This window comes from Homo sapiens, chromosome 4 (assembly GCF_000001405.40).
Source record: "Homo sapiens chromosome 4, GRCh38.p14 Primary Assembly".
Taxonomy (NCBI): domain Eukaryota; kingdom Metazoa; phylum Chordata; class Mammalia; order Primates; family Hominidae; genus Homo; species Homo sapiens.
Genome location: NC_000004.12, coordinates 183013787 through 183037386, shown reverse-complemented (window position 1 = coordinate 183037386; position 23600 = coordinate 183013787). Strand labels below are relative to the sequence as shown.

The window sequence follows — 23600 nt, the reverse complement described above, 5'->3', positions numbered from 1 at the left end:
ATAAAATTTGATTACATAAGCACCTTAGCAGGCCTTAGGACATAAGAGGCTTCATCCATTTCTTCCTCCTTCCTGAGTGCCTGCAGGAGATGAATGAGACACAGTTTCCGCTCCCACAGAGCTTGCAATCTTTTAGGGGCAACCGGGTACTTACGCATGACGCCAGGCAGACAGTGATGAGTGCCATGAGAGCAACGGCTGCCTCCTATAGGGACAGAAAACACTTTCTCTCTACTCTCTGAGTTTTCATAATTGACTCCAGGACAGTAGGCAGATGAACAGGAGAAAAAAACATGCACATTTATTACACGGATGGGAGCAGCACGAGAAACAAAAGTGAGTACCCAAAACCCAGTGAAATTGACAAGCTTATCTACTTCTTCATAAAGAAGAGGGGATCGGGCATGTAGGCTGCTTAGGGGAGAATAAGTGCTTTTTGGGGAAGACGAACAGGCGATAGCCTATGGCGATGTCTGTGAGTGGCCCGGACCCCCAGTCTCTTCTCCTATGATACAGTGAATCTTGTCTCTGGAGGAGAAACTGAGTTCCTTTTTAGATCTATCTTTAAGGAGACAAGGAAAGTTCAGGGACAGCCCCTCCCTGTGCTTAGGGGAGAAAGAGGAGCGAGACACAAGGGCAAGAGAAGGTCAGAGAGATCTTAGTGCTGAGGCCATTGCTGAAGCCTTCCAATCTCCTCCAGTTCAAAGTACTCTGCAGGCCAGAGCGCCATATGTTCAGGTAGCTTTTTCTGAGCCCCAGCAATGGTCGGCTGTGACATCCAGGAAGGCTCTGAAGAGGACGTGGCATTCACCTGGCTCTTGAAGGACAGGGAATACTTGAAAAGAAAAAGATAGACAAAGGACTCAGACAAAAGAAATAGTTCTCTTTCTCTCACGTAACACTTGGATAACTTTGCCAGTCATCCATCCCTGCCTTGAGGGAATTGAACAGAGAGCAGGCCAATTCGGAAGAAGAGATGAAAGTCTGTTGTGGAGAGCCCCTTAAGGGTCCTTGAACATGTAGGACCAGCCAGAGGATAACGGGGTGTGCAGGTGTCCATCTAAGCACCACAGCTTAGTTGGGAGCAATCTTGGAATTCCAAGCCTCAGATCCCCACAGCCCTTTCTTCTCATCCCGCCTCTGGCAATGCCTAAACAGGAAACAATCCAGGGGAGGCACCGGCCCAGCCCCTCCCACCCAGGGACAGGCGAGAGCTGGTGTGTCAGCCTGTATCTCCACACTGGTGCCCCTGCTCAGAGGAATTGATTTATTCATGTAAAACTATCTCCATAGCCCAAAGCAAGCTCATTTATTTATCAATAATTTGAAAAGGAAAGTAGAAATCTTTCATGGGACTACTTCAGAATATTTCATAATGTTACCTCCCAAAAACTGGGGCTTATTTGCCTGGTGAGTAACAAACGACTCTCCAGGAGAACTCAGATTTTGATCAATAGGCATTGTGTTACTTGGCACAAGTAAGACACACACGGGAAGTGTTCTCCAAAGCCGTATCTTCCCAAGGGAAAGTGACAGGAGGGTTTGATGGAGTGATAGAGAAGGGAGAGGTGCATCATGGCATGTGTATGGGGGGGGGGGTCCCAGTGGCCCAGACCCCCCCTCTACATGCCATGATGGGTCACAGGTTATGATAATAAAGCTATAGCTCCTCTAGGGGAGGAGGGCTTTAGCATGGCATGAAGAAACTTCACTGGGGTTCATCTATAAGTTGCTGGGGTCTGTCAGTTGCTGGTTCCAACCAGCAAGGCGACTGCATTCCACACAGGCTGCAGGGCAAGAGGCTGTAAAACAGGCTGCTTCCTCAGGTTGATTATTCATTTCCTAAAATCCCTGGAAACCCTGTCTGTCTGCTTACAAAAGTACAGTGAATCCTTCATTTATGTGATCAGAGTTCATAGTATCTCCAGTCTGCATGCTTCGGATGACCACTCTGAACAGTGATGTTGCTTATAGAGCCAAGGTACGGAGTTCTCCCAATCTGTGCTGCTTGGTCAATGATTGGCAGTAACTTCCCCCGCCAGGTTGATAGAGAACTGCAATGGGAAACTTGCCTTGAAGAACAGATTTCCCTAAGGGAATCAGTGCTAAAGAACTGGTACATTATGAACGTGTTCTTTAGCAAAGCTTGTAAAGTATTTCAGAGGCCAAGGTGTATCAGGGTGTCGACAGGTATGAAACATGTTAAAGGTCTTGAGTGGCTGATGGTCCAGATCTTGTTAGCATCTCTCCTTAGAAAGGCAAACTCAGGGCCCACCCTACACCTCGATTTCCAGGTGATGCATATGCAGGCTAAAGTTGAAGACGTCTTGGTTTAGATATCTTTGAGAGGAAGTCGTAAGTCACCCTCCTCAACCACCTAGGAATGTTTCCTAGGAGAAAGAAAGTTGAACATTGCTATTTTTTTTACTCTGATGTTAATGTTGATATCAAACAGGTCAAATATTAATAATTTTCCTTTAATATACTTGATTCTACTAGTTACACCATTTACTTATAATACCTAATGCAATGTAAACGTTATGTAAGTAGTTGTTACCCTGTATTGTTTAGGAAATAAGGCCAAGAAAAAAGTCTGTACATTTTCAGTACAGATGCAACCATCCATTTTTTTTTCTACATATTTTTGATCCCTGGTTGGTTGAATCCATGGATGCGGAACCCCCAGATACAGAGGGCCAACTGTATATTTAAATTTAAATTAAGCTCTAGTTTGCAATATTCACACTATGACAGTGTAGTAAAAATCAACACAAAGCTGGGTGCAGTGACTCACACCTGTAATCCCAGTACTTTGAGAGGCTGAGGTGGGAGGACCACTTGAGGCTGGGAGTTTGAGACCAGCCTGGGCAACATAGTGAGACCCCACTTTCCCCCACAAAAATCAACACAATACTTCTGATTGCATGATTGTTAAAAGTAAAGTAACACCTTAAAAAAGCCCCAGCTTATACTATGTAGCCGTAAAAAATGTTGAGTTCATGTCCTTTGTAGGGACATGGAAGAAGCTGGAAACCATCATTCTCAGCAAACTATCGCAAGGACAAAAAACCAAACACCGCATGTTCTCACTCATAGGTGGGAATTGAACAATGAGAACCCTTGGACACAGGAAGGGGAACATCACACACTGGGGCCTGTTTGGGGTAGGGGAAGGGGGGAGGGACAGCATTAGGAGATATACCTAATGTAAATGACGAGTTAACGGGTGCAACACACCAACATGGCACATGTATACATATGTAACCTGCACGTTGTGCACATGTACCCTAGAACTTAAAGTATAATAAAAAAAAAAATATATATATATATATAAAAAGCCCCAGCTTGTTATATCTTATTTTCCTCATTCAAAGTCTATTCATTAAATGGCTGAGTGGGAATAAATATCATTCCTAATTTTAAGATCCAATGACAGGTAATTAATGAACTATACTATACATGATTTTCATATTTATAGACATCTGTCACTTTACATTTTGTTAGTCTTACCATATGTGCTGCTTTGTTTTAATTCCAGTACTTAAGTTTATGAACATATACTGTGAAAATGTAGCTGTAACATCATCAAATTGGTTATCAGAGTCTTTCTTGCTGATCAGCTTTCTATTTTTAAAGGGTAATTGTTGCAAATATTAAACTTATCCTAGAATCTTATTCCTCTTTTTAAAAAATATTTGCTGTGCACTTTTTTAAGTTTCTTCTATCTAGACTCGTTCTATCACCTAGGCTGGAGTGCAATGGTGCAGTCTTGGCTCACTGCAAGATTCAAGCAATTCTCCTGCCTCAGCCTCCCAAGTAGCTGGGATTACAGGCATGTGCCACCACACCTGGCTAATTTTGTATTTTTACTAGAGACGGGGTTTCTCCATGTTGGTCAGGCTGGTCTCAAACTCCTGACCTCAGGTGATCCGCCCTTCTCGGTCTCTCAAAGTGCTGGGATTACAGGCGTGAGCCACCGCGCCCAGCCCTTATGTTTCTTAAATTCAGTCTAAAAATATACCCCCCAGCACTGGATATGTGGCTGTACTTACATAATATTTATACTTGGTATCATCATTTAACATGTGAAATGTGTTAATAATTTCTAGAACTTCTGCCTGATGAGGAAGACTTTTTCGATTCCTAATCATCACTAATTTTGGTTTCACTGCTCGAGACACACTCCAGGGGTTGAGAAATGCCCTTTTAGGTTCTGTCTTTCATTGCTAAGTGCAGCATCCAAATTAATTATTGTGTATTTAGTCTGAGTAGAGTTGTTTTTCTCATTTTGAGCTTCTCTTCAATATCACCATAGATTGGGTTTAATTCTCTAAATCCATATTGGATTTGAATCAGCCCTGAAGGCAGCGACAGTACTAGACACATTTTTTTTTTTTTAAGTTTTAGCAACAAAGACAACAATCCCCAAACTATTCTTGAAAAGTCTATTTTTGATATAAATTAGGGAAAGGAGATTCACTCAATAGAGAGACTGAATATACAAAATGAGCCATGGCCAGACCATATATAAAATGCTTCTGTAACAACTGGCCCTAAATGGCCAAGATTTGATTAATAACTGACAGCTTCCCTAACTTTTGTCCCTGCTTCCAACACCAAGTATGCCCCCCTAACCAATCACATAGGATGCTCGCCTCTAGCCAGCCCGCCTGCAGCTTCCCCAGGTCATGGTCTCCATCAGGGCACACCTGATGCCTTCTCTTTTTTCTACTCTGAAGCTTTCCCACTCCTCTGCCTTCCGTTGAGTCTCTGCAACAACGCAAGTAATAGTGGGTGATTCACTTGTTGTAGCAAGCTCTGAATGAACAACTTTTCATAGTTCTCATTTGATTGGTCTTCTTTTAATTTCTACACAATGCATTAAGTGTATATTGAATGTCCTCTATAAATATGCATTCTGGTGGAGAAGGCCTAAGACCGGGACTCAACAGAGCAGACAATCTAGCTTCCCAACTGAAGGAAACAATAACTGAACAGTTTTTGAGGGAATCATATAAAATATGAGTCAGATTATCATAAACTGTGACTGATTTTTGCTGCACTATGAACTTCTTTAGGGTGGACACCATGACAAAATGCTCAGACTGACTTAAACAAAAGTGGGAGGCTACCGTTTCACACAAGTCAGATGTGCAGTTGAGTATGGCCTGACCGAGAGAAGGAATTGTGTCAGCAGGATTCTTTTCTCCACAGTGCTGCTTCTAGCTTGGTTCCCCTGCCAGGTGTTTATGGCAGCATCTCCTGACTTCAACTCCCAGAATCTCTGGGATTCCCCATCCTGGTTTCAAGATGCTGCAGAGGAAGCCCACTGCAAGCTTCACGTCTTTGGAGCAGCGAATTCAATAAAGAGTGCAGGACCCTATTTCCCAGAGCCTCAGCTAAGTCTTCATGTCCTCTTGGCTTCACTTGGGTTAAATTCCCAACCCTAACACAGTCATGTGGCAAAGGAGATGGGAAACGGTCATTGGCTTGAGCCAATGTGAACTCACTCTTGTCCCATGAAGGAAGGCACTAGTCATATCTCTTTATGCTCCAAAATTTAGCCCAGTGCTCTCAGTAAATGACTCTTTTTTATGTTATGAAAGAAAACCAAGAAGGGTTGGTTTGGTGGGAAGATGAACTCAGAGCTTTGGTAGGGAAGGAGTGAGACCCCAAGGCTTAGGTTGGGGACAATAGGTAGATGCAATCGAGAGCTCTCACTGTAATATTCTCTGGAATCCTTGAACTTCAGAAGTGGCCCACATGGCCTAATTGGAAGATAGTGGGCCCTTCTTACTTGAAGACCAGATAGTGAGACAGTGCCTTATAAGACAACATCTGTCTTCCTCAGGATCTGCTCTACCTCCACTCCCAGCCACAAAATTCATAATTAAGGTCAGATGTCAGCACAACCTAACAGGGAAAGCAGAGCCTGCTAAGGGAGAAGAGGGATTCTACACCCAAGCAGCTCAGAACCTGGCTGATGTGTACTGGCAAGAACTGGTGAGTATGCCTGGAAGTGAATCTCCATGGTGCTGGACCAAAAGGTTGGAATATAAAACTGGATAAGAGAGAGTTTCTCTATAAGGGGGCACTCCTCTTTCACTCAGAATTAGCTACCTGGCAAGGGTCCCAGGATGTGGGTCTCATACACCGCTTGGATAAGTCCTGGAAACTTGCAGAAAGTGTTGGCCTACAAAAAAATGAAGTAAAGATGGCAGAACTACCAGCACTGACTGTGGAGAAAAGAATCAAGAGGCTTGGAGAAGTGGACATGCTAGAATAGTTCTCCCACGGGAGGTCAGTTGACCATGCTCCTGGGGAGAACACTGCATGGATGCAGGTGATAAGGAATGCACTGGTGAGTTTGGAGTCCTAATTAGGGAAAAGGAGTCAAGATGGTTGGGACCAGGGTAAAGCAAAAAAACAGATAAGCTGTAAGTTTGCCTTTCTTCATGGTCCAGGACACAGAGCCATCCTGTGCAAATAACTCACCATCTTCCTGCGCCCAGCTATCACCAGACACTCGGCTGATAGAAAAATGCAAGTTAGCTCACTGCGACCTTGGCATTATCAGTACCGCACAAAGCCCTCTTCAGCACACAGCACAAGCACCATCCTATAAAATCTCCAGCAAGCTTTTGTCTCCTTGCAGTCAGCTCCTCTCTTGCTGACTTGCCCATTGCTTTCCTGAAATACATTTTCCTACTTTTTCCAATAAATCTGCCTTTCTTTACCTAAAACTATCTTGATAAATTCTTTTTACCATCTGTGCCACCAGCCCTAGGCAGTTGCTACCCATGACAGTGAGGATACCAGCACACTGAGAAACTCAGTGGCAGCTGTCTTCTGTAGGTTGGGGCTGACAAGAGATGACACTACAGAACTGATCACACAGTAGCAGAGGCCAGCAGCACTTAATCGTCAGAAGCTAGATGGCATAATAAGGACAGTAAATCTGGAATGACAGTCAGGGGAGATCCAGGGAGGTGTTTCTAGAAACATGGTGTTTCTAGGGGAAAGATAAGTGGGCAGGCAACAAGGGCATTGTTTACAGGGTATCCTAAAAATCTTAGTGCAGTTTTAAGCTCTAAAGAGAGATCAAGAATGAATGATCAGTTTAAAATAACTGAAAGTATAATTGGATTGTTTGTAACACAAAGGATAAATGCATTAAGGAATGGAGACCCAATTTTATGTGATGTGATTAGTACTCACTGCATGCCTGTATCAAAACATCTCATGTACCCCATAAATATATACACCTACTGTGTACCCACAAAAATTAAAAAAAAAAAGAATGGATGATAAGGAGGCTAAAGTCAGCCATTCCTAGCGGGAAGTTATGCCTTCTTGCCCAATTTCAAGACCTAAGCCAGTTCTCAGACCCACAATTCATTGAGTAAAGAAAAGGTCCATACGGGTCCATGAGGAAGGATGCATTCATGCAGGATATACAGCATAGCCTATGCAGTATGGATTCCCCAGTGCTCCCAAAAGAAACTACAGCCACCTATGTAGGTGCTATACCTTGGAAAGAAGGGAACACCCAGATCTTATATCCAAGGCCCTTGAATAGAGCAATATCTAAGAAGTCAAATGTCACTGTGGCCTCCCTGTTAGAGAAATGCGGGTGTGAGAAAATAAATAAGGCAGTAGGCTCAGCATGGCCATGGGCAGCAGCGGTGGTGGTGGTAGAGGTGGAGATGGAGTCCTGGATAGGAGGACTGGGTGTTGTTCCTGGGCAGTGCAGGCCAGAGTGATGATTGTGACGTTTGGAATGATACAGCATTGATAGAAGCTTATGATAAAGCCATGCTTCATTTAAGCCACCATTCACAAGAATGACATTTGTGAAACTTCAGATAACCAAATGTCACACCTAAAAGAAAACCCAAGAAGAATAAGAGCCAAAAATAGAATATGCAACTCTCTTGAAACACAGGAAAGCTGGTGGCGCATGTTCTGCCATTAGGTCAGAAGACAGCTGCCTTCACCCAGCTACATCATTGCTTCAGTTGATTGTATTTTATTTTTATTGTTATTATTTTGAGACAGCATCTTGCTCTGTCACCCAGGTTGGAGTGCAGTGGCACCATCACAGCTCACTGCAGCCTCCACCTCTCGGGCCCAACCGATCCTCCTGCCTCAGCCTCCCGAGTAGCTGGGACTTAATTTTTATTTTTCGTAGAGACAGATTCTCACTACATTGCCCAGGCTGGTCTTGAACTCCTGGGCTCAAGCGGTTCTCCCGCCTCAGCCTCCCAAAGTGCTGGGATTACGGGCGTGAGCCACCACAGCCTGAGCCACTTAGGTTGATTTTAACGGAAAAACCCATGTTGCGGTGTACACTGGATATGGAAATGGAGAAGAGCAAAATCTGCCTGATCTACTACTTTCCCCAACCTCTGAAGTAGCTAATAATATAGAATAGAACACTCGAGAGAATGAAAGTCAAGTTCCAATGGATGAAAATGAGAACTCCAGGTCTCCTGGAAATAAACCAAATAACACCAAATCAAAAGCTACTCCATGAAACTCTTTTCTCCTTCTGCCACCCCCATGCCAGGGTCAGGACTGAGACCAGGAAAGCCAGGTCTAAAATTCAATGTTCCTCCACCAGCACCCCATTTCCTGTCATGCTGGCTGCCTCCATTTCCCTCTGGACCATCAGTAATTCCTCCACTCCCACCTCTCATATGTCCAGAGTCTCTTAATGATGCTTTGCTTTGGGAAGTGTGATCATCTCTTGGTACCTAACTGGCTATCATACTGGCTATTATATGGTGTGATGGTTAATATTAGATGTGAACTTGATTGGACTGAAGGATGCCTAGACAGCTGGTAAAGTATTGTTTCTGGGTGTGTCTGTGAGGGTGTTGCTAGAGGAGACTGACGTTTGAGTCGGTGGGCCGGGAGAGGAAGACCCACCCTCAATGTGGGTGGGCACCATCCGATCAGATGCCAGTGCCACAGGTGGGAGGGGGTGGGATAACCTTGCCTGCTGAGTCCTCTGGCTGCCCTCCGTCTCCTGTGCTGGGTGCTTCCTCCTACTTCTCCTGCCCTTGGACATTAGACTCCAGGTTCTTTGGACTCTGGGACTTGCATAGTGGCTTGCTGGGGGCTCTTGGGTCTTTGGCCACAGACTTTCAGTCTGCATAGGGCTGCATAATCAGCTTCCCTGGTTTGAGGCTTTCAGACTCGGACTGAGCCACTACCAGCTTCTCTCTTCCCCAGCTAGAAGACAGCTTATCATGGGACTTCACCTTGTGATTGTGTGAGCCAATCCTCCCTGATAAACTCTCTCATAGGAAGAACTGACTCACACAATCACATACGCAATACATGATATGTATATGATATATATATATAATATTAACATAAACGGTGTGTGTGTGTGTGTGTGTGTGTGTGTGTGTGTGTATATAACCCATCTATATACATATACATATATCCTACTAGTTCTGTCCCTCTGGAGAACCTTGACTAATACATATGAGGGTTTTTTTTATGTGTTTGTTTGTTTGTTTTTTGAGATGGGTGGTGCAATCTAGTCTCACTGCAACCTCTGCCTCCTGGGCTCAAGCAATTCTCCTGCCTTAGCCTCCCAAGTAGCTGGGATTACAGGCATGCGCCACCACGCCTGGCTAATTTTTGTATTTTTAGTAGAGGCAGAGTTTCATCATGTTGCCCAGGCTGGTCTTGAACTCCTGGCCTCAAGTGATCTGCCCACCTCAGCCTCTCAAAGTGATGAGACTACAGGTGTGAGCCACCATGTCTGGCATGAGGCACCGCGCCTGGTGAGTTTCAAAATAAAAATAAAAAAGAAAGGTGCTCGCATGTCAATTAAGGAGTAATTCTGCTATGATTATAAAAGTGAATCTTACTTTTGCATACATTTTATGGTTTGTGGAAAACAAATGTTTTACAATATTTAAAAAATCGGATTGTTAAATAGTTGAAAAGTTAATGTAAAACAACATTAAAGGGATTTTGATGCCAAAACTATTAAATAAAAAATTGATCTACATCCACCCCAGAATTCTCATGGTGTCAAAGTATCATCTTACCAAAGATTTGCTGATTGGTTTTGTGGGCACAACATACGTTTACAATGAAGAGATCCTTAGGATCTAATGACATTGCATCACCAGGAGTCAGACAACCAGACATGCTTTTTCATTTGTCATGTAGTGTGCACCTATGATGTGTTCTTATCAAAAGAGTTCAACTGGAATTTAGTCGAGCTTTTAGATCTAATTTCCCATTTGCAGAAGATACTGAGGCTAGAACAACAAGTTAAATGACACCATTAAAGAAATGATCAGATAGGTTCAGAATGTGGAATGTTGTAGAGATAACTGGCCTCATTTCTTCAAAATATCAGCATTCGGGAAGAAGAAGAAGGAGGTGGAGTGGGTAACTCTTCTATACTCAAAGTTACTTAAGGCCAGGCAGGGTGGCTCAAGTCTTTGGGAGGCTGAGATGGGAGAAGCACTTGAGGCCAGGAATTTGAGACCAGCCTGGGCAACATAGCCAGAACCCATTCTCTAAAAAAATTCTTAAAAAATTAGCCAGGCATGATGGTGAATGCCTGTAGTCCCAGCTGCTCAGGTGGCTGGGGTGGGAGGATCTCTTGAGCCCAGGAGTTCCAGATTGCAGTGAGCTATGATTGCGCCACTGCCCTACAGCCTAGGTGACAGAGCAAGACACTGTCTCTAAAAAAATAAAAATAAAAGTTACTTAGGAGACTTAACAACTAAATGCAATGTGCAGTCTTTGATTGGAACCCATGCTTTTTTGTTGTTGTTGTTTGTTTTTTGAGACAGGGTCAGGCTGGAGTGCAGTGGCGCGATCTTGGCTCACTGCAACCTCTGCCTCCTGGGTTCAAGTGATTCTCCTGTCTCAGTCAGCCAAGTAGCTGGGTGCACGCCACTATGCCTGGCCAATTTTTGTATTTTTAGTAGAGATAGTGTTTCACCATGTTGGCCAGGCTAGTCTCGAACTCCTGACCTCAGGTGATCTGCCCGCACCAAAGTGCTGAGATTACAGGTGTGAGCCATTTCGTCCAGCCTGAAGCCTGGTTTTAAAAGTCATCTGTAAAAGACCTGGGCAAAGGGCCACTGAAGAAATTTGAATATGGACTAGATTTTAAATGATATTAGACAATTATTGCTAATTTATGAGCTGGGATAAGGGTATTGTAGTTTACAGAAGAATGTCTTTATAAATGTGCGTGCTGAAGTATTTAGGAGTGAAGTGTTAAAATGTCTCTAAGATATTTTCAAATGGTTTAGCAAAATGTGTGCATATGTGTGTGTGTGTCTGTGTGTGTAAAGTATATATGGCAAAATGTTAATGAACCTAATTGGTATATTTATGAATGTTCACTGTCCTATTTTTCTATTTTCTTTATGTTTAAAAGTCTATAATAAATTTTTTTTTCATAAAAAAAGAAAAGAAAGTCCTTGATAAAGTTTGTCTCTCATTGGGTCTATGCATCCTGCCACCCACAACACCGGGTGTCATTTCCTTAGTCCCAGAATACATCAGTCTCCTAAGTAAGTTTTTCATTTTTATTCTTTTACAGACAAGTTCCCTTTTTGTTTTTTTGAAACAAGCTCTCACTCTGTTGCCCAGGCTGGAGCGCAGTGACTTGATCGTTGCTCACTGCACCACCAACTTCCCGGGTTCAAGTGATCCTCCCACCTCAATCTCCCAAATAGCTGGAATTACAGGCACACACCACCACGACTGGCTAGTTTTTTGTATTTTTAGTAGAGATGGGGTTTCACAATGTTGCCCAGGCTGGTCTTGAACTCCTGAGCTCAAGTAATCCACATGCCTCAGCCTCTCAAAGTGCTGGGACTACAGGTGTGAGCCACTGGGCCCAGCAGAGACAAGCTCTTGACCACATGTGGCAACTGGCAGACAGAATCCTACGTTGGTTCCTTGACTGTAGAATAAGAACTACCATAGTAGGAAAGGCCACCTGAAAGTTCCTGAAATTACCCCCTCTGACCTTGATAGTAAATATCTCATTCAGAGAGATAGCAGAGATGGGTGCCACCCTTGAAGACTTTAATAGTTCAAAGCTGGCGGTCCTTCTTGTAACTCCATTTAATTCACCAGTCTTGCCTCTGCAAAATCTAGGTGCATCATGGCAGATGACAGTGGACAATCACAAACTTAACCCTAATTTTAGCTGCTGTTCTGGATATGGTATCCTTACAGAGCAGATGAACCCAGGTTGGGTCTGTGGTATGCAGCTATTAATCTAGGAAGGGCATTCTTTCAATACCCTTTAGGAAAGCGCATTAGTTCTCATTTCCATGGGATGAACTGCGGTAGGCTTTCACTGTCTTGCCTCAGAATATCATCCTCCCATTCTAGTTTATTTCTATGAAATTTCAGCTTTCAGGAATGACAACAAGTATTTGATAGTCTGTCAGTTAGTTCTGCATATGAAGATAGAAGGTAGACCTTGAAAATATGTCAAGCTTTTTTGCTAAAGTCTACATTCACTGCTTTGTTGGATGCTAAGCCAACAAGCTTCAGACAAAGCTGTAAGACTGAGAGTTTCAAGGTGGCAGATAGTAGCAAAGATATTCCTATTAAATTACTGGCCACAAATCACTGGAAATCATAAAACGGTTGTTATGGGTATTAATGATGTCATAAAAATTGCCCAAAGACACTGAAGTCTTCTCTGATTGTCTCTCCGTTAAATACCTGGTGTGCCTCAGCATTCAAAAGCCGAGCATGCTCCTCCTTTTCTCCACACAGCGCAAACTTAGTGGTGGCCGTTTGATTATATTTACCTGTTTCACCATTTCCTTCAACACCTAATTTGGATCAAAAGGCATCTTTTTGTCCACCAACTGTTCTCCATAATTAAAGCAGTGGATGAATTGGCATTTAGGTGTATTCTTTCTCTTTCTCTCTCTTTTTTTTTTTTTCTAAATTGAGACAGGATCTCACTCTGTCACCCAGTCTGGAACACGGTGGTGCGATCACAGCTCACTTCAGCTTCGAACTCCTAGGTTCAAGTGATCCTCCCACCTCAGCTTCCCAAGTAGGAGCATACTTTCTGAGTAGGTATGCACCAGCATGCCTGGTTAAATGTTTTTTTTTTTTTTTAGATGATGTCTCACTCTGTCACCAGGCTGGAGTGCAGTGGCACAATCTTGGCTCACTGCAACCTCCCGCCTCCTGGGTTCAAACCATTCTCCTGCCTCAGCTTTCTGAGTAGCTGGGGTTACAGATGCCTGCCACCACGCCTGGCTATTTTTTGTATTTTTAGTAGAGATGGGGTTTTACCATGTTGGTCAGTCTGGTCTCTAACTCCTGACCTCAGGTAATCCACCTACCTCAGCCTCCCAAAGTGCTGGGATTATAGTGTGAGCCACTGCACCTGGCATTTTAAAAAAATTTTTTAATAGAAAAAAATTATTTTTTAATAGGGTCTTGCTATGTTGCTCGGGCTGGTCTGAAACTCCTGAGCTCAAGTGATCCTCCGGCCTTGGCCTCCCAAAGTGCTGGGATGACAGGCACCAGCCACCGCACCCTGCCACCTGAATTCTCTTTCACTCACATTCTATGTTCATGCATAGCAGATACTCTGTCAGCTCTGATCCCAAAGCCTTTTCAGTGACAAGTGCCCTACAGCTCACAAGATCATCATTAACAAAACAAGAAAATATCTGTTTATAGAGTCTGTGCTTTCAGAGATAAATAAGATCAAAAGCCGTAGAACATTATCCCCAAGGAAAACATGTACGCTAGAAGCAGCTTCATGCCCTGTTCCTCAGTTCTGTCCAGTCTTGGTGAGAAATATCTGCTAGCAAGAGGATGTGGTAGTAAAGACTCTTTCAATTTATCTGCCATATTATTCCGCTTTCTCTTTATGCATAATATTGGCCATTAACTTTGGGGCTGGTGTTGTTTGTTTCTTAATGTTCATGTCACTGATATCTCTTACTGCTACTACCTCTTCTCTGCCTTTAGTGATACAATTGATCGGTTTCATACTTGAAAAGCGATACTTTGCTTTTATTCCAGGAAACCTCATGTGGATGCTGGAAAGGTCACTGAGCTTGTGTGAAAGTGATACAAAAGTTTGGATGGCTTTGTGCCATTATGGGACAAAATTCAATACAGACAAAGCATGAAGGGCAAAAAGTGAATGGATCACTTGTCGAACGAAATCCAATTTTCAGATATTCATGATGCTATATCCTATTCACACTTTTCTTTTCCAATGCTTGTGTGAAATCGTCACCTTCACAGATTCACTTGTCCCAACATGTAAGAGTTCCCATTCCACATTTGTGCTGGAGTCTTGTTTATTATGTTTGTGTATGGTGTTATTCCGGTTGTAGTATGTATGTTATTATTTCGTTATTGCCTTTATGCCTCAATAAACCATGTGCACCACTAATCCACTTTTGTGAAATGAAGCTAAAATGCAATGCGTGCGTAAAAATAAAAAGGCACCTTGAATAAAGTAAGCAGTATTATGTAAATGATTCGGATGCGCATAAGCCACAAGGTAGCAGACCCTACTAACCGGATAGCAGCTCCCTCCAAAATGATCAGCACAATTTGTGGCTCATGTGCAACCTCTGAACACATAATTATTTTTAGCATGTTAATGGCATTTCTTGAAAAGCATAGTTTATCTTACATTTTAAATTTATGACACGAATATGAACAAAATTGCCTCATAGCTTTCCCTCTGAGGCTGCCTGTGGGATGCATGATAGCCTTACAAGGATGACCCAGGGGGTGTGAGCCACACTGCTCTCCACCTCTTGCCTTCTCTTCTTCTTCCTCTCTTGCAAATTAAATATTTGCTCACATTTTTAAAAGTTATTTTTCATAGTTTTATTTTCTATCCTTAGTTATTTAATTCTCTGGATTTTTTTTTTTTTTGAGACGGAGTCTTGCTCTGTTGCCCAGGCTGGAGTGCAGTGGTGTGATCTTGGCTTGCTGCAACCTCCGCCTCCTGGGTTCAAGCGATTCTCCTGCCTCAGCCTCCTGAGTAGCTGGGATTACAGGTTCCCACCACCGTGCCCAGCTAATTTTTACATTTTTAGTAGAGACGGGGTTTCACCATGTTGGCCAGGCTGGTCTCAAACTGCTGACCTCAGGTGATCCGCCCATCTTGGCCTCCCAAAGTGCTCAGATTACAGGCATGAGCCACCACACCCAGCCCTCTGGACTTTATTTTTGCATATAATATAAGAATCTCATTCCTTCTCCAGAAAGTTAACATATTATCTCGGTAGTACTCATGAAATCATTTTTATTTTCTCCATTTATTTCCACTGCCACGTTGATCACACACACGTTCTTATATGCCTTCAGCACAATTTCAGGGGCGCCCTTCATGTCAGCCCTGCAGGCAAATCTCTTTTCTTTCTGTTCCACGTTTTGATCCCTTATTCTACTCTTGCATTTGCACTGCACTACTTTACTTAAGCTTAGTATGTTTTCCTATTTGGTAGTGCGAGATCCACCTAATTTCTCTTCTATTTTCACGTTTTTATTGGCTATTCTTTAGGGGATGTGCATATATTAGTGGTTTTTGGGTTTTGGTTTTCATGCACAAGGCTTTGGAATAAGCGAGAAGCACTCTACAAATATGAGACATTTTTCTTCTTGTAGTCTTATTATTAGTAATCCTATTAACAGGCAATTTTAATAAAATAGGTAACCTTTTCTCATCTGGGAGATCTCAGGTCTTGATACTGTTACTGATATAACATTTTATAAGAAGCCCTTCATATTGTGACTCTTAAGTTTTCCTAGTCTGAGATGCTGGGAACACATGAATTGATGTGGTTGTCATCCACTAATGCAACAGGCCAAATTATTTCTCCACTGGACTGTGGAGATACTGCCACTATCTATTGGCCAAAACAATTAAGATTGGACTACATATTTAGGATGCTAAAATTGCCAATAAAAAGTAAAAAAATGTAGTCAGCCTATTAGTTCCTTTGTTTCTATGACTCTAAGCAATCAATTTTTCACATTCCACCCCTGCACTGAGATAACTAACTCACAAAGTTCAGTGTGGACACCAGGGAGGCAGAACTTTAAGGTAGCATCTTATTAAAAACACACACACAGACACAAAAACCCCATGGGTCTTGCTGTGAGTTTGCATACTCTATGCATAGATTGTCAGAGCAAATATCTCAGAGATCCAGATGGTTCACAAAGCATCTTGTGATTAAGTGATCTGAGGCAAAGGACCCATCGGTGGCCTTGTATTGTTAGTAGTTAAATATGATATGGCTTCTGTAATCAGAATCCACTAAATGCAAACAGAGCGGGTACTACTGTTTGTACTTGGTGTGCCAAGTTAGGTTTCTCTGTGGACTTCAAGAGATTTTTTAAATGTTGTTTTATTATATTTGTAATTAGCCCTTATGAAGAAAGACTCTTTTAGTTTCTGCAGTGATGCATTGCAGCTTTCATTATAACAAATACCCATGACCCCTGGTGCCTATCCGTAAACAATGATAGTTACTAGCCTCATTAGTAGACTAGCAGATGGCTTATAAAGTCCTCACTGGAGTTTCAATCCATTTGCGGCTTGCAGTGCACAAATGTTTATCTTTAAACAGTATAAAATATGTCAGACGGGGTCTGCATTCTCCTTTTCATTAGTATTAATGCATTCTGATTTTAACAAGGAAAATTTCTTTGATTACACTTTTTTTTTTGTTTGCTTACTCTAACGTGAACTGATTTTCAGAATTTTTTCTGGCATCTTACCTTTTGGAAGAACAAACCAAATTCTATCAATTTCTCACTTTTGGCTTTACTCGTTCTGCAGACATTTATCTGAATCCTACTATAGGCTAGGCTAAAATACTAGAGATAGAATGATGAATACGATATAGTAGATGCTCAATAAATACTTACTGAAAATGCAATGGATTACCCCTATGGACAGTTTTGCTCTCCATGGTTTCAGTTACCTGCAGCAAACCTTGGTCTGAAAATATTAAATGGAAAATTTCAGAAATACAAAATTCATAAGTTTTGAAAGTGCATGCTGCTCTGAGTGGCATAATGAAATCTTGCAACATTGGCTCTGTCCCGCCTGAGAGGTGGATCATTCCTTTGTCTAGCATATCTGTGGTGTGTACACTACCTGCCTGCTAGTCCCTTAGCCAGCTTGATTATCAGATTGACTGTCTTGGGTATCACAATGCTCGCATCCAAGCCACCGTTATTTTACTTTCTAGTGACCCCAAAGTGCAAGAGTAGTGATGCTGGCAATTTGGATATGCCAAAGAGAAGCCATGTGAATGTGAAAAAGAGAAAGTTTTCAACTTATAAGGAAGGAAAAAACTTGTACGCTGAGGTTCTTAAGATCTACAGTAAGGTCAAATCTTCTATCGTGAAATTGTGAAGAAGGAATGAGAAATGTGTGCTGGTTCTGCTGTTGCACATCAGATTGCTATAGTCATGGCCACAGCGTGTGGTAAGCGCTCAGTGAAGGTGGAAAAAAGGCATCAAATTTGTGGGTGGAACACATGAACAGAAAACATGGTTTAGGCATTCACTGGAGGTCTTGGAACACAGGGACGATGGCTCTATTTTTCATATCTTTTGCCTATTTTTCCTATTGGATGGTTTATCACTTTTTGCTCATTTTCATCAATGAGATCATATTTTAAGTTGAGTTTTTCTTTTTGAGATGGAGTTTCATTCTGTCGCCCAGGCTGGAGTGCAGTGGCACGATCGCAGCTCGCTGCAACCTCCACCTCCTGGGTTCAAGTGATTCTCCTGCCTCAGCCTCCCAAGTAACTGAGATTACAGGTGCCCACCACCATGCCCGGCTAATTTTTGTATTTTTAGTAGAGATGGGGTTTTGCCATGTTGGCCAGGCTTGTCTTGAACTCCTGACCTTAGGTGATCCGCCTGTCTCGGCCTCCTAAAGTGCTGGGATTACAAGCATGAGCCACCGCCCCGGCCTTTAAAATTAATTTATACAAGATAAATTAATTGGTCATAAAGTATGCCCATTTTAGGTTTTTATAAACACAGGGGTGCACCACATAACGATGTTTCGATCAGCATCGGTCAAGATTATCATGGAGCCGCCCTATGCAGGTGTTTCATTTTTGTCTTTGATACCATATTTTTACTGTACCTCTTCTGTGTTTAGATATGTTCAGATACATAAATCCTTGCCATTTTGCTACAATTGCCTACAGTGTTCAGTAGAGTCACATGCTATACAGGTTTGTAGCCTAGGAGCCGTAGGGTATACCACGTACCTAGGTGTGTAGTAGGTTGAACCACCTAGATTTGCAGGTGGAGGACATGAATGGAAAATGTGTTTCAATTGACGACAAATGCGTTGTGCCATAAAGCACTGAACTTATAGGAAGCCTTGAGCAAGGGGTCCCCTGAAACAAGTGATATCAAGCCATTTACTACAAGTAAGGGATGGTTACACAGATTCAGGAATAGGTTTGGACGAAAAAATAAAAACATTACTGGAGAAGCTGCACCTGCTGATGAAGAAGCAGCTGCTGCATTTCTGGCAGAGCTGAGGAAGTTGATTAAGAAGAAGGAATACCATCCACAGCAAATCTTCAACTGTGATGAAACGAGGTGTTTCTGGAAGAAGACGCCCGATAGAACCTCTATTCATAAAAGTTCAAAGGAGGCACTGGGGCATGAAGCACGGATGGGCAGATTAACCCTGGTACCAGGTGGCAATGCTGCAGGGCATACGATAAAGCCAGGTGTCATGCACAAAGTGAAGAACGCATGTGCTCTCAACAACAACAACCACCACCTACTATGTACCCACAAAAATTAAAAATTAAAAAAATTCATGATTTAAACCCCCCCAAATTATCTGCCCATCTTCTGTCAAAATAATCAGAAAGTGTGGGTGAGAATCATCTTGTTTATGGAATGGCTTCACCGATGCTTCATCCCAGAAGTGAAAAAATAAATGGAAGTGGAAGAGTTGGAATTTAAAGTCCTGTTTGGACAATAGACATTGCACCTGGACAATTTTTTTGTTTGTTGAATTTGTTTTTGTGAAAATTAAAATGTCAAGGTTGTGTTTTTACTTCGGAGTACAACCTTTGTTGAATTTGTTTGTTGTGAAAATTAAAATGTCAAGGTTGTGTTTTTACTTCTGATTACAACCTTGTTGCTTCAGCCCTTTGTCCAGGGCATGACGTCATTTGGTTTGTCAAAACCATATACATCCACCTGAGATTTTGATCAGCAATCGAGGCAGACTCTAATCTGGACACAATGCGGTGCTGGAAATTATTCACTATCGTTGACACAATAACACTCACCAAAGCTACAATGCATGAATCGAAACCAGCAATGGTAAATGTCTGCTGCAAGAACCTGTGGAGTGAAGTCAAGAATGATTTTAAAGGCTTTCTGGGATTGAAGAAGTTAGGAAAATCACTCATGCAGAAAGACAAGTTGGTGGAGAACGATTTGCCGACCTGCTTGACAGGAAGTGGGAGAACACATTGAAGGCCATTGACAAGTGTTAAACCAGGAATTGGGAGAACTTGAGTCATCTACAGAGGAAGAGGAAGAGGAAGAAGAAACTGAAGCAGAACCAGCAATGTGGACATTACCAACATTTGCTGAAGTGTTTCAGATTTCACAGACTTTTAAAGACAAAATTATGAAATGTGATCCTTAGTTGGAATGCAGCATTAAAGTCACCTGCATGCTCACCAAAGGATTAGAACGTCTGCAGCAAAGCTTTGAAGAGTTAGGGACAACTTCTGATTACAATGTTCTTCCAAAAGTTTTCAGCAAAAAATCTTTCAACTATCCAGGATCCCCAACTATCAACATCATTGGCTCCTGACGTTCAACCATCAACACTGTCATGGCCCAGTGACCTGGACCACCTGTAGCACCTCATCCCCCTTCTGACATAACATCAGCAGGTCCGCAGTAGCCTAACACTATGTCACAATGCCAATGACATTCACCTCACTTCACTCATCACAAAGGCATTTCATCATCTCACATCATCATCAGAAGAGTGGGTACAGTACAGTAAGATATTTTGAGACAGAGAGCAAGACCAGATTCACATAACTTTTGTTACAGTGTACCATTATAATTGGTGCATTTTATTATTATTGTTGTTAATCTCTGACTCTGCCTAATTTATAGGCTAAGCTTTATCATAAGTATGTAGGCATAGGAAAAAATTGCTGTATATAGGGTTTGCCACTGTCTGCGGTTTCAGGCATCCACTGGGGGTCTTGGAACATATCCCTCACAGATAAGGAGGGACTCCTGTACTTAAGGAAAGACTGAAACTAAAATTAAAGCGGCGTTTCATTTTATATGTTTGTGCTCTCCAGCGAAATAGTACTTGAGCACTATTTCCCAAAGAGCCGTATTATTTTTGTCTATAAATAATTTCCTTTAAACTACAAAATGTTAGAAATTGGAGAATATGTTTTGCATCAGCTTAAGACTTCTCTCAATCAGACACATATGAAATTTTCAGTGCTAAAAGTTACCTAGATAAAAATAACAATAGTGACCATTAATTGAGCATTTACTATGTGCCACTGCTTACTTATGCTAAGGATAAGGATTTTATTACCTCACTTAATTCTGTAAAGTCTAAATAATCCATGGGGAAGGTACTATTTCCTCATTTTACGGATGAAACTAAAGCTTAAAAATATTAATCAAGTTGCCCAAGTTCTCCCAGGTGAAATGTGGCTGAGACTAGATTCAAATGGAGGGAATCTGACTCCAGACCCCATACTCTTTTGAACTATTATATGTTAGTCACAACAGCATTTACATCTAGACATCCGTGTGCCTACAATAGTTTGTTCCTACCCAGCATCATTTGGGAGACTGCATTTATGAGTATTTAACCATTTGGACTGCTTGGTTCAAATCTTGGTTCTATCATTTAAAGCTGTGTGACTGGCTGGGCACGGTGGCTCACGCCTGTAATCCCAGCACTTTGGGAAGCTGAGGCGGGTGGATCACCTGGGGTCAGGAATTTGAGACCAGGTTGTCCAACATGGTGAAACCCCGTCTCTACTAAAAATGCAAAAATTAGCTAGGCGTGGTGGCATGTGCCTGTAATCCCAGCTACCCAGGAGGCTGAGGCAGGAGAATTGCTTGAACCTGAAAGGTGGAGGTTGCAGTGAGCTGAGATCATGACACTGCACTCCATCCTGGGCAGCAGAGCAAGACTCCGTCTCAAAAATAAATAAATAAACAAACGAATAAATAAATAGCTGTGTGACTACAGGCAAGTGACTTGACCTCACCAGGTCTTGTTTTCCTTACTTAGAAACTGCAGGTAATTATAGTGCCCACCTCATAGGGTTGATGTGAGGATAAAATGATGTAATATATGCAAAGCACTTAAGGAGCAGGTGGCACATAGTACATCCTATTATACGAATAGCTATTACTACTATTATTCTTATCAATGTTATTAGAGAGTCCGTTGCTCCTATTTGAGCTCAATGTGTCCATAAAAGAATTCATATTCAGTGTTGCTACATCTTCTGATTTTTAAAGAGAAAATAAAACCTAGATTTTTTTTTAAATGAGGTCTCCCAATTTTTAAATGTCAACACCTAACGGAAACTTTCAAAACTCCTGAGTGAGCAAAGGAAAATGTCTGTAGGCCAAATGCAGCCCACAATGGGCAGTTTGTGCCTTTTACTGGAGGAACTGCAGTGAAGTTATACAGAATAAGGACAAGAGAATGCAGACACCAGATGGGATGGTTTCTGCCACTTGGAATAGCCTAGCGTCTCAACAGGTCTTTGGGAAATTCACTTAGCATACAGTGTTACAGACTTAACCTGGTCTGATTGGCTTGGTCCACTCTTTGTGTTGATAGCTGGTAAGAATTCTGTTAGGTACCATATCCCTCACGTATTCTCTAAAAGATGATCAATTTGAGTCGATTACTTTCAACAAAACTAAAAGGAATCAAAGAGCTGGGTGTGGTGGTGTGTGCCTGTAGTCCCCGCTACTCAGGAGGCTGAGGCGGGAGGATTGTTTGAGCCCAGGAAATCGAGGCTGCAGTGAGCTATGATCACACTGCACTTCAGCCTGCATGATAGAGTGAGACTTCATTCCTAAAGAAAGAAACTGAAAGGTGAAGAAAAGTTAACGAGATTTCCATTTCCAGAAACCGAAGCCTCGACGTTATCCACAGGGAACGTGTCGCTCAGATTGAATATACCAGTACTATAAGTTTCCTTGGAAATTTAAATGATAATATGTCTATTTTCATTTCTAAGATGGTTCTGCCAGAATGTCTAGCCTCTGTCATCATATACTACGGTCTACCCAACAACACTTAATTCTTTTAGAAATATTATCAGAAGTCGAGGTTTGTTTATATGCCAGGTCTATCAGCACCTGAGTGCTTCACAAGCTGGCTGTCAGCAGTCGCAGCAGGAATCACTCTGGCCCCGACTCGTGTTCCAGCACTGATCCAAACGCCGGTTCCAGCGGCTCTAGCAGCTGGCCAGGCATGTGCTTCAGACGATAAAATATGCTGAGACAGACACATAGTTTTGAAAAACTCAGTAGTAGTGAATGAGTATCCATGTTAACTTAAATATAAATAAGTAAATTTATAAAGAGGGATTTATAGGATTAAATAAAGAACAGTGGTGACCAGAGATGTTGTGAAAGGAAATTAAATGGTTTTTTGTGCTGGCCAGGCTTTTCCTTGGTGTTGTCCGGAAGGGCTGAATTTCCTTAGCCCTGGTTTTCCTTGAGGGAAAAACCACATGCAAAGGGTTCCAGTCTCTATTTTTGCAGAAGAATGCCACACTCAGCATTGCGTTTTTAGAAGTAATAATGTGCTCCATTCATTTGTTAATTAATTAATTTTTTTTTTTTTCAATTTTGAGATGTAGTCTCGCTCTGTTTCCCAGGCTGGAGTGCAGTGGCCTGATCTCGGCTCACTGCAGCCTCCGCCTCCCAGGTTCAAGCGATTCTCCTGCCTCAGCATCCGAGTAACTGGGATTACAGGTGTGCGCCACCACGCCCGGCTGACTTTTGTGTTTTTAGTAGAGACGGGGTTTCGCCATGTTGGCCCGGCTGGTCTCGAACCCTTGACCTCAAATGATCCACCTACCTTGGCCTCCCACAGTGCTGGGATTGCAGGAGTGAGCCACCGCACCCCACTCATTTGTTAATTTATTTGTCCAATATTTATCGGTCTCCTACCATGCCCCAGGCACCTTAGAGGGTACCGAGAATACAACAGCAAACACGACACAGTCCCTGCCCTCGTTCAGCTCAAGAGCCGGAGGGAGAGGCGGGTGAGTGAAAACAGTGCACTGAGACGGAGGATGGGAGGGGCAATCGGGGGTGCTTCACAGAGGAGGAGGCATGTTGGTAACGTGGTAACGTGGAACGTTGGTAACTTTCCGTGATAACGTGGAACGTTGGTAACGTTCCGTGAAGTCTGCATCTTCAAATGCCCCCAGCTCTGTCTAGTCTGATGAGAGAGGAGAATGGCCAGGCCTGAGAAGTGGCTTATGGTTGGAGGGGAGTCGGAAAGGGAA

General features: G+C 42.5%; 2 long non-coding RNA genes and 1 pseudogene across 13 annotated transcripts; 2 read left to right on the top strand and 1 right to left on the bottom strand.

Moving 5' to 3' along the window:
* Window positions 1–257: 257 nt before the first annotated feature.
* On the top strand, window positions 258–6743 carry LOC107986328 (uncharacterized). 3 transcript variants are annotated; one of them, XR_001741937.3, is made up of 3 exons: window positions 258–336; window positions 5079–6003; window positions 6111–6743. It is a non-coding gene; the product is annotated as an uncharacterized LOC107986328 (long non-coding RNA). The 3 variants fall into 3 exon arrangements; XR_001741936.3 differs by having other exon boundaries at window positions 5079–6361; window positions 6465–6743; XR_007058409.1 differs by having other exon boundaries at window positions 5079–6743.
* Window positions 278–23371, bottom strand: LOC112268472 (uncharacterized). 10 transcript variants are annotated; one of them, XR_007058405.1, is made up of 7 exons: window positions 19750–19910; window positions 19509–19586; window positions 19350–19404; window positions 18540–18752; window positions 16939–17011; window positions 1877–2390; window positions 750–835 (listed from the first exon to the last, which is right to left on the bottom strand). It is a non-coding gene; the product is annotated as an uncharacterized LOC112268472 (long non-coding RNA). The 10 variants fall into 10 exon arrangements; XR_007058404.1 differs by lacking the exon at window positions 750–835 and having other exon boundaries at window positions 1783–2390; window positions 19738–19910; XR_002959817.2 differs by lacking the exon at window positions 750–835 and having other exon boundaries at window positions 1783–2390.
* LOC100132090 (survival of motor neuron 1, telomeric pseudogene) lies at window positions 8316–8787 on the top strand (annotated as a pseudogene).
* Window positions 23372–23600: the final 229 nt, after the last annotated feature.